The sequence below is a fragment of the Homo sapiens genome, chromosome 2 (assembly GCF_000001405.40).
Source record: "Homo sapiens chromosome 2, GRCh38.p14 Primary Assembly".
Taxonomy (NCBI): Eukaryota; Metazoa; Chordata; class Mammalia; order Primates; family Hominidae; genus Homo; species Homo sapiens.
In genome coordinates, this window is record NC_000002.12 from 106564769 (window position 1) to 106576473 (window position 11705).

The following is an 11705-nucleotide window of genomic DNA, read 5'->3' on the forward strand; positions in this document are numbered from 1 at the left end:
CATAATGGAATAAATTTAAAGTTCTACAACGTTCCATCTGCTGCATTCAGATCTTTACCAATGAGCTACTCACATTGTTTAAGACTGGACGATTTGTGAAATGAGTTAATGCATGATATAATTCATTTTAATTTTGTTTGTTTGTTTGAGACGGAGTCTTGCTCTGTTGCCCAGGCTGTAGTGCAGTGGCATGATCCCGGGTCACTGCAACCTCCGCCTCCTCGGTTCAAGCGATTCTCCTGCCTCAACCTCCCAAGTATCTGGGATTACAGGCGCCTACCACCATGCCCTGCTAATTTTTATATTTTTTGTAGAGACAGGGTTTCACTATGTTGGCCAGGCTGGTCTGGAACTCCTGACCTCAGGTGATCTGCCCTCCTTGGCCTCCCAAAGTGCTGAGATTACAGGCATGAGCCACTGCACCTGGCCTCATTTTGAATTAAAAAGTTCTAAAATATCTCTTATCCATTAAAATTAGACCAAAGGGCTTATAATTACCTCATTTCCAGAAACACTTAGATTATCTTATGAGCTCATTCCATCTTAATGTTAAATAAGGCTTTTCATTAATTAGTCAAACAACTAATTTATTCATGCATGAATCCAACCAGTATTTATTAAATACCTCTGCTGGGTGCAACTCCATGTCAGGGGCCCAGGTGCTGCCGGGCACAGGATGGGTGGGAGTGACCCTGTGGTCGGGAACATCACCTTGAAATGTGGGGAGCACCTTACACTTTCAGGGGCAGCAAAACTAAAATCATATGTTGAAAGGTTCCATTTTTAAGTAAGAGTGTTGTGTCCCCAAGGAAGCTATCTCAGAGCTCCCTGACACTCAAGCCAGTAAGCTGCGCTGGTACCTAGAGAACAGCAGACCCACAGTGGGTTTATATTTATCCATGGGGGAAAAAAGAAAAGAACATTTGTTATCAGCCTAATCTTGCTGAAGTTTGCCTTCCTGGTTGTACTTCTGGTTATGTGCTTTCTTTTTTCTTTGAACAATACAATAGAATCCTAGGGTTTTGATGTCAGTGTAGAAACTGACTTTGAAAGCCAGCTGACTCAGCCTCTCTTTCAAAGCAAGAATTTCACCTCAGTATCTCAGGTGAATAACCATGCTCTTTACTTTATGAAGCAGAATGTTTCTTCTCTTTTTCTGTTTCCGTTTTAAAAAACAGTTCCAATTTTTCTAAAAAAGGGTTTCTCTAGATTAAATAAAAATCTCTGCAACTTGGACTGAGTAATGCTGCCTAGGAATGAATATTTCAAATCAAATCCATGTGAAAACCTTTCAAATGTATTGTATGGGACATGTTTTATTCATTTTTTTCCAGGCCAGCATCTTGTAGGTTGGAGACCCTTGCCCCCTCCTTGGTAACGCCACTGTGTTTACGCTTTGGGGGCTGTCCCTCTCCCAGTCGCTGTAGGCACAGGGATGAGCCAGCAAATGAGACGATGTCATCGCCCTGGCCACATGACTGGTCTAATAAAGAGAACATGACTCACAGGAGCCTCTCAGTGTTACCATAAGTAGCTTTGCTGGAGCCATCTGGAAACATGTGTCCCACAGTGATGGAGGGGGCTGTGATCCTGGAGCTGTGGTGGTCTTGTTTTCTGCCATGTAGAACGTGTCTGCCTGAAATGGAAGCAGAGTGAAAGGTGAAGAAGAGAGGGGAAGGAAGTAGGGAGGGAGGGAAGGTGAATTTGAGAGAGCACCTAAGGGCTTGGATCTTTCTATGCTCATATTAGTCCAGAGTTTGGGGGTCCTTGAGCTGGTAGATTTTTCCCTCTCAGGTTAGATTCTGGACACTTGAATCCAAGAGTTATGCCTAACACTCAATGACTGCAGCCCCTATGCTCCACTACATCTTCTCTTTCCTTCCTTCCTTCCTTCCTCCCTCCCTCTCTTCCTTCCTTCCTCCCTTCCTCCCTTCCTCTCCCCTTCCTTCCTTCCTTCCTTCCTTCTCTCTCTCTCTCTCTCTCTTTCTTTCTTTCTTTCTTTCTAGGCAGGCTCTGGCTCTGTTGTCCAGACTGGAGTGCAATGGCATGATCTTGGCTCACTGCAACCTCTGCCTCCTGGGCTCAAGTCATCCTCCCACCTCAGTCTCCCAAGAAGCTGGGACCACAGGCACACACCACCACGCCTGGATAATTTTTGTATTTTTGTAGAGATAGGGTTTTGCCATGTTGGCCAGGCTGGTCTCAAATTCATGAGCTCAAGTAATCCACCCACCTCAGCCTCCCAAAGTGCTGGGATTACAGGCTTGAGCTGCTGCACCCGGCCTTCAACCTGTGCTAATATAAGAGGATTCTGACCTTTTACTTTTCTGATAGTTTCTCCTCGGAGAAGAGCTAACTGGTTAGATTTCTTCTAAAAATGTGCCCAGCATCAAGCACAATAATCCAATCATGTTTCACCTCCCTTCATGTTCCATGATTTTCCCACTTAGAGAGAAGTTGGAAGCAAAATAGCAGCTGAGCAGTTGTACTTTCTTTTTCTTTTCTTAGCCCCCATTGGTGGTCCTTTTTCCCATTGGTTTTCTTTGATCATATCTAATTGAGGGCTTTTGAAGGCCCATTGCTTTTTCAACAAGTTTCCATTATTTTGAGGTCCCAGTTTTCCTGAAACAATTCATTTCACTGCTCTTCATTTGCATTTGCGGTGGGTCAAATATTCTATGTTCATTTTTTACACGTCTCTTTTATTCCTAAGCATTTCAGAGGTCTTCTTGATTCAATGACATTTTCTGCTTTGGGTATCTTCACTCCTCATTTCCTCATTGGGATAATATTTATTTGTAGAATCAGAGTTTTGGGGGTTTTCTTTAAGACCTTTTAATGACTCGAGGTTTTTTTCTGTCTTGGACTTTCTAGGCATGGGCTTATACTTTAATGTGTTTCAGAAAGTCTTGAAACCTGCTATATTAGTTAGGTTAGCTTGGGCTATGCCCCACCCTAACACACAAGCCCCAAGTCATACAACAGTACACAGAAGAGTGTGTTCTCCCTTCACTGTGGGTTTGGTCGGCTCCTCAAAGCCATGTCCTCCATACAGAGACTCAGGGACCCAGCTTCTTCCACCTTTTTTGCTCTGGCCAGAGACATGTCAGAGTAAGGCATGGCTTCTTCACCACCTCCACCTGAAAATGACCCGTGCCATTTCTGCCCACCCTTCCTTGGACAGACCTAGTCATATGGCCTCCCAAGTGCAAGGGGGCTGCCAGTACCATTTTCTGAGTTCCAGAATAATGGGAAAGCTGCTGGTGGTGAGTACTCATCTTGTCTACTCTGGTTCATGTTTGACTACACCCAGAGTTCCCTCCTTTTACTATTATCCAACCTAAGATGACAGGCCCCTTTCTCTCTAAATGTTCATGTTGGCACATTTGCTTAAACCTGGGTTCTCAGTAGCAAGACCTTTTTTTGCTTCCCAAACACTCCTGAGAGTAGACTGCTGGCATACCTTTCTGTTGAGCAAATTAGGGCTTCCAGAGATATATGGTTTGTTGCACTGCTCCAGCACTACCTCCCTTGTCCCTTTGCCAGATGTGTTATTTTTAGGGGACTCTGAAGCAGACTGCTCAACTCCTTCCAAAGGACTATGGCCCTTACCTATGCCCCAACTGGTAGCAGGGGCCCTGCCACCCAGGCAGACCCCCCAATGCTGCAGCTCACCTGCCTTACCTGTCGAGCTCCAACAGCCCAGGATTCCCATCAATATGCCCCAAATTATTCTCTTGCCTTCACTGTGTACCATTTTCCTGGCCCATGAACAGACCTCACTGAACTGATCTGACTACAAGTTTTACCTGCTTGACTGTACCACCTCCGTCAACGCTGGCTTTTGCATCATTTTTCCTAAATGCCAACGCTTCTTGGGGTGCTGGCTGTGTTCTCAGCTCTCCTGCATCATGCAAGTCCTGAGTGTTCCTGCAGGACTCTCAGAAGCGTTATCACTTGAGAAAAAGCTAGTATCTCCTTGGGATAGACTGAACGCTGCCTTCTCTATACCTGATGTGTATAATGTCACCTGGAAGAACAAAGCCATCAGCCTGCATTTCAACTAGACACCGGGGGTAGGATCAGGGGTAGGACTTGGGGGACACCTTGTCAAATAATTTAATTGGATTCTTACAAAAAAGGAATCAGAATCTCCCGCTGAGTCTCTCTGTGGCTATGGACTGGCCCTTTAGAAGTTTCTGCTTGGCTGATTCAAGTTCTTTTCTTATTTCTAGCACCCAGTCAGCAAATTTGAAAATGTACCAAAGACAAAAGAAAAGGAACCACTCCTGCTCTCCAAAATCCTGTGAAGTCTTGTGAAGTACTAACTGCACTGTGGGCAAGGTGGCCTCAAAGAGCGAGGACTGGTTAGGAAACTGTTCTCTCCTTAAGGGGATGGGAAAAATGGCTACTTGCCATTGGAAAGAGGGTGTGTGTGTGTGTGAGAGAGAGAGAGAGAGAGAACGTGTGTGTGCATATGCGCCTGTATGTGTGCATGAGTGTGTGTGTGTGCGCGCGTGTGTGTGCACATATATGTATGATGACAGCAGTTACCCTCTGGACAACTGGAAGAAAAAGGTAGCAAAGTCACTGAGCTATAACCCACGTGCAGGTGGGGCCTCAGAGGGGACTGACTTGGCGTGCCTGTGCCCACCCTGAAGGACTCCAGCTGTCAAAAGCCATCTTGCTGTATTTGCAGGTCAAGTGTACTGTGCCAGAGAGAGTAAATCAGACTTGGGGACACATACGCTGGATTTGAGAGTGGAGGGTTAAAGAAAGGAGGCCATCTTGGAGAGCAACCGCGGCCTGGGAACAGGGTGAGAGCTGAGAGCATGCATCACATTCCCAGTACCAGTTGTTGGAAGCCATGAGCCATCAGGAGACTTAGAACCATCTGACCTTCAGGATTGATCACTAACCTGCGGAAGGAAGGGTGATGTTCAATGTTTGAATTTTCCACCTTATTGAAATTAGACTTGTCTGCAACATTGCTGAACTAAGAATTAGTTAATTCATATGAAACACCTCTCATGATGATTAACATAGGTGGTAGCCACTGCAGTTGAAGATTATCTGGAAGTTTACATATAAGAAGGATCCAAGCAAAAATTGTTCTAAAATATTTTTCAATGTGGTCATCCTTTTCCATAGCTCCTGCTTATTGACTGTGTGGCCTACAGGCTGCCCGTGTCCATCTGGGGGTTGGGGGGACCCTGATCTAATCAACACGGACAGGACAGCCTGGGTCAAACTGGCTCTCTCTGAGGTGATTGAAGGCTGCTGGACTCACACGTTCCGTGGCGCGAAGTCCAAGTGCACACGAGGGCATATGGGGCGCTATGGACTGAATGTTTGGGTCCCCCCCCAAAATTCATATGTTGAAACGCTGCCCTCCAATGGGATGGTATTGGGAGGTGGGCCTTGGGAGCTGATTGGGGTGAGATGAGGTCATGAGGAAGACACCCCATGATGGGATTAGTGTCCTTATAAAAAGAGAAGGCACCTGGAGCTCTGTCTCAGCCCTATGAGGGTGCAGCTAGAAAGCGGCCACCCACAGCCCAGGAAACGGGCTCTCCCCAGGCGTGGAATCTGCTGGCACCTTGATCCTGGACATTGACCTCTGGAACTAAAGAATACATGTTTGTTGTTTAAGCCTCTAGTCTACAGTAATTTGTTATAGCAGCTGGAGCCTATTAAGATGTGGGAGGAGAGCCCTGAAGGAGTGGGACCTTAAGAAAGGGACATGGTCAGCGTGGCTAGAGAGAGAGGCAGGAAACAGGTGAGAGAGGCCAGGGAGACTGGGGAATTCTGATTGCAGAATACATGATTCTGCAAGACTGGCTCACTGGAAGAACTTCCACTTTAGCCCTAGAGGGAGATGAGCTGTGAGTGGTTTGAGCAGGGGAACATGAGTGACTGCATTTTTAGGAGCTCATGGTTGTTGCTTTCTTGAGGACAGCCTCCAGGGGGAAGGTTGGGACAGAAAGAAGCAGGCACAAGGCAGTTATGATAAACCAGGGCAAGGCACTGAGGGAAAAGGTGGGGCTCGGGAGGTGGGGAGAAGGTGCTCCTTTGAGACAGAGCTGGGAGAATTTGCTGAGGATTGATGTGGAGAGGACCCCAGGCCCAAGGATATTGCTATCATCCACCAGGATGGAGACGACAAGAGACAGGTTTAAGCCCACGTAGAACTGGAAGAAACCTTCTTTCCTTTTTTCCTTCCTCCTTTTCTCCCTCCTTCCCTCCTTCCCTCCCTCCTTCCCTTCCTTCCCTATTTCCCCCCCTCCCTTCCTTCCTATCTTTCTTTTTTCCGGGATGAGAAAAGCGCCTGCTTGTTTGTGTCCTGACGGGGTGATCCAGGAGAGGGGAAATCCCGTGATGCCCGAGAGGAAGAGGAGAGAATTGCTGGAGGCCTGTCCTTGAGATGGCAGGAAGGGATGGGTTTAGTGCCCCAGAGGATTTGGCCTTGGTTGGTTCATGAACAGTTGGCACAAACAATTCCTCTGCAGTAACAGGAGGGAAGGCCAAGTGTGGGTCTAGACACGGGGAGGTGGGTAGACGCAGACATCCTTTGTTAATTGGTTTTTCTCAGTGAAAAAGAAGGTTAGGTCATCAGATGAGAGTGAGGCTGGGAGAAGGGTTGAAAGTTTGGGGAGAGGGGAATAGGAGTGACATAGTCTCCTAGGATAGGGGGACACTGAAGTGACCAGGTGAACACAAGATTTCCAGGCAGCTTGGAGGGTCCTCCTGAGGTCAGTGGTCCTAAATTCAAGTGCGGCCAGTAGACCAGGTAGGAGTTTTTCTCCAGTATAATCAGGTGCAAGGGTGCAGTGAGGGGCTGGTAGAGTTGGGTTTAATTGGGTTTGGGGGCTTTCCAGGTTAACGTGACTGTGGGAGAATGGACAAAAGTGCTGAATGCATATGGAGGGGAAGGATTAAAATGGTGGGCTCTGGAATCCAAGCTGGTGTGGAGGGAATCAAGGATGAAGAGGAAAGGAGGGACCATTGCAAATCTAGCATCAGGGAGGTGTAGGTCCCAGGGAGATCAAATTATTGTTGGGGTGGAGGTGCATGGCCAGAAAACTGGAGGTGGGTTCAGGGAGTGGGATGCTTGACAGAGATTATGAAGGGTCACAGTTATGATCATGACACTGTCTATGATGTGATGGAAAGTGGCTCCTGGTATCCTGTGGGCAGCAGTAACCTGGAAGAGAGGAGGAAGCCACTGAAGGGCCAGGTATTGGAGGGACCATCAATGTGGATATGCACACCGATGCATTATAGCAGAAGCAGTGCTGGGGAGACAGACAGGGACCAGGTGCTAAGGTCTTTAGGGAATGAGGCCGGTGGCCTCAGAGGAGACCTCTAAGGCTCAAGGTTGGTGCCACAGTCTACAGCATAGGCCACACAGCTTTTTCTTTAGGCAGGGATTATGGGGGACATGATGAGGGCAGGAGAAAAAGTATAAACATTTGAAAATGATGGCAAGGAACAAACAGGACTATCTCCTACTTCTAAGCCCAGGGATAGAATGGGTGTGAGCAAAAGACACCGACCCCTCAGCAGACAGAAGCACAAGTGGCCTCTCAGGGCAGCACCAGATCCATTCAGGCAAGCGACTGAAGGCATTGCTCACAGCAGATATTTGTGAGCTGCAGAAAATGACAAATACATAGTTTATTAATATTTTCAACTGGATTCCTATGACATTTATTTTAAATAACATGTTTGCTAAGACATATGAACTTTTAAGACTCATTTATTTCTTACCTGTCCATCATTGTTCTTTCAGAATTCAGACATTTCAACTCTGGAACTGTTATTATCTGGCAAATTGCAATGCATTATAATTGTTATGCTCTTATGCAGACCAGGCAGCTTTGCTCAAACAATAGCTGGATAGTGACATTCCACGTTTCTATTTAGTTTGTTTCAGCAGTTGTAAAACACAGGCAGCACTGCTGCCCCCAGGTGGTGTGCAGGAAAACTGCGTCTTCATCTTCTAAGAAACACCTACCTGAGCGCCTTGTTGGTATAGGCTGTCTGGCCTCATCTTTTGAACTTGATACAACTCAGTGGAATGACTGTAAAGGCTACTAAATGTAGTGTTTTACTGTAGCTGATACACACAGGTAATTATTTATTAATTGACAACTCTAAGAAAATGAATACTCCTCTTCACACCCAGTGCCCCAATACACAACCATTGATGTGTGTATGAAGATAAACATGCATACATTTCCAATTCCTATGGTGTTTGAAGAAGAGATGGATTAGTGTGAATATTTAAGAATTTTCAATCTTCAGAACTTAAAATGAGCATGCAAATAACCGTTAAGCATGTGAAATTAAATAAAAACTTAAAAGAATTCAAATTTAAGCTGTTGGAACTTTAAATTATCCCGAGTCTTGAAAGGAATGACTATGCAGCCTGCATCAAGCATCATGCAGCTGCAACTTCTGCCTTTCATGTCACCATACATAATTAAGACCAAATGGTGCCAGAGATAAGCCCCCCTCAGATCACTACCCCTTCTCATGGAGTAATAATTTTTTTTTTTTTTGAGACGGAGTCTCCTCGCTCTGTCACCAGACTGGAGTGCAGTGGTGTGATCTCAGCTCACTGCAACCTCCACCTTCTGGGTTCAAGTGATTCTCCTGCCTCGGCCTCCTGAGTAGCTGGGACTACAGGCACGCGCCATCACGCCCAGCTAATTTTTGTATTTTTAGCAGAGATGGGGTTTCACCATTTTGGCCAGGATGGTCTCGATCTCTTGACCTCGTCATTTGCCTGCCTTGACCTCCCAAAGTGCTGGGATTACAGGCATGAGGCACTGTGCCTGGCCGAGTAATTTTTTTTTTTTTTTAGAATGTAACAATCTGTAATCAATCAGATTGCTGTAGTGTATGGAAAATGTTGCAATCCTGCTAAAATTTCCATATAGATGAACCCTTAACCTCTCCACTTTGGAACACTGACTCCATTGGTTCAGTGTTTCGGGGTGGCCATCCTTGAGCTTTGTACTCAAATAAACTCTATACTTAATCATATTTTCTGAATCTCATTATTTAAGGTTGACAAGCATTATTAACCAATACAGAAGACCTGTGGTTTTCAAAGTGTGTCCCTTGACTGACAGCATCAGCATCATCTAGGAGCTTGTCATAAATGTGAATTTCCAAGCCCCACCCTGACCTATTGGATCAGCTACTCTAGGGTGGGGCCAGAAATCTAAGCATTAATGAGAGATAGTCTGCTGTTCCTGGAAGACTGAATCTGAATCTGTATATGGTTTCTAGAGAGCTATTTAACTCTTGGCATCATTGTAGTTCATCTCATTTGCCACCAACTTCACACAAATGCTGTGAGCCTCACATAAGATGATCTATATGAAGCCAGTTTGGAGACTGCACAGTAGCAATGAAACAAAAAGAATTATAATAACTACTATCATTTTTGCACTGATTTTTTTTTTTGAGAGGGAGTCTTGTTCTGTCACCCAGGCTGAAGTGCAATAGTGCGATCTTGGCTCACTGAAACCTCTGCCTCCTGGGTTCAAGTGATTCTCCTATCTCAGCCTCCTGAGTAGCTGGAATTATAGGCGTTCGCCACCACTCTTGGCTAATTTTTGTATTTTTAGTAGAGACGGGATTTCGCCATGTTGGCCAGGCTGGTTTTCGAATTCCTGACCTCAGGTGATCCACCCACCTTGGCCTCCCAAAGTGCTGAGATTACAGGCATGAGCCACCACGCTCGGCGGCACTGACTTTTTAACGGGTAATTTTGAAAATGTTTGCACCAATTCATTTTCTAAAACAGGGAGCCACCATCAGTAAAGGTTATCAGTTAGGATCTCTTAAATTTTAATTCCTTGATTACTTGACCTCAGGTCTCTTTGGTCTATTATACTCTTACTTTCCCTTCAGGAAAAGAAAATCCGTTTGGAACTACAAATACACATGAACTAGACCCATTTTTTATTTCCTAGCAGTTGTTTAGCCCCAGCAGAAAAAAAAAATAGGTAGATACACAGTTTTCAGCAAGAAATATTACTTTAATTCAATGCACCCAATTTGATCATGTCTTTCCTACATGATGGGTGCCACAATAGGGTCTGGATATAGAAAGCTGAATAAAATATGATAGCTTCCCTCAAAAAGTTTATCAACTGGGGGTGGGGGGGGCATAGACATTTAACAACAGTAGTATCTTAGCTGGAAAGAAAGTTAGAAGAAAAACTTTAGACACATTAAATGTAACAGAGTTTAGTTGAGTAAAGAATGATTTTCCAGTGGGATAGGCCCCTGAACCAGAATAGGTTCAGAGCACCTCCAGGGCTGCCGCATGGTGAGATAACATTCATGGTTAGAAAAGAGAAGGTGAGGCACAGAAATAGCTGGATTGGTTACAGCTGGTGCTTGCATTATTTGAACGTGGCTTGAACAGTTGGACATCTGTGCATGGTTGAGCTAATCTGCTGAGAAGAGTCAGTAACAGTCTGTTTACAGATACAGTTAGGTTATGGTTCACTGTGTATGGAGAAACCTTTAGGCCAAACTTAAAATATGTATAGAGACAGTTTTAGGCTGGGCTTAATTGGGAAAATGTGAGCCTTTTATGGCACTTGTCTTTTTTTTTTTTTGAGATGGAGTCTGGCTCTGATGCCCAGGCTAGAGTGCAGTGGCATGATCTCGGCTCACTGTAACCTCTGCGTCCCGGGTTCAAGTGATTCTCTTGCCTCAGCCTCCCAAGTAGCTGGGACTACAGGCACATGCCACCACGCCCGGCGAATTTTTGTATTTTTAGTAGAGTTGTGATTTCACCATGTTGGCCAGACTGGTATCGAACTCCTGACCTCAGTGATCCGCCCACCTCGGCCTCCCAAAATGCTGGGATAACAGGTGTGAGCCACCGCGACTGGACAGCACTTAATTAATTCTATTAGTGTCTCACACTGCTCTCTCCTCTCTTCTGTGCTCTCATCTAGAGAGGATTCTAGAAGGATGGCAGGGGCAGCCTGGTAGGGTTTGAATTTCCAGAATCTGCCCATAAAAGCAAACAAGGCACTTAGGATAGCATAACCAAAGACACTCAGACAACATCTCCCAGAGAGCCAAGTGGGTGGTAAGGAACCCCACACGCCCCGAATGCAAGCACGCAGGATGGGACCACCTGCAGCCCCAGGACCAATGTGGCATGAGCGCTTGTGTGGAGGAAGCAGAGGGAAGGGAAGGGGAGGGGAGGGGAAGGGAGGGGAGCCAACTGCCCTGGGAGGCGGCTCCCCATCCTCCATCTGCCACTGTGGGAGGTGGGTCGGGCCAAACAGGCACTGCGGGGGCGTCTGCAGCATTCCTGTTCCAGAGGCTCTGATGTAATCAGCCTGATGGTGTGGGAGAAACCTGACCTATACAGTCTCCTGACCAAGGAATTCAACTCCCTTCTAAAACAGATCCACAGGGAGGCAAACACTGGAAGGAGAATCCAATTACAGTCAGACAGGAACGGTAAGAACAGAGAGGAGAAGGTCCAGATAAAAGCAGAAGATCACAGCTGATAATAATGTGTTGTGTATTTCAAAATTGTTAAAAGAATAGATTTTTAACGTCCTCATCACAACAAAGTATGTTGGTGAGGTAACAGGTATGTTAATTGGCTTGACTGAATCTTTCTACAATGTAGACATAGATGAAAACATCACATTGTA

General features: G+C 45.7%; 1 long non-coding RNA gene across 1 annotated transcript; it reads left to right on the forward strand.

The window, feature by feature from the left end:
• Window positions 1-1804: 1804 nt before the first annotated feature.
• Window positions 1805-9051, forward strand: LOC124907863 (uncharacterized). The gene is made up of 2 exons (XR_007087168.1): window positions 1805-4367; window positions 4700-9051. It is a non-coding gene; the product is annotated as an uncharacterized LOC124907863 (long non-coding RNA).
• The last annotated feature ends 2654 nt before the right edge of the window (window positions 9052-11705 follow it).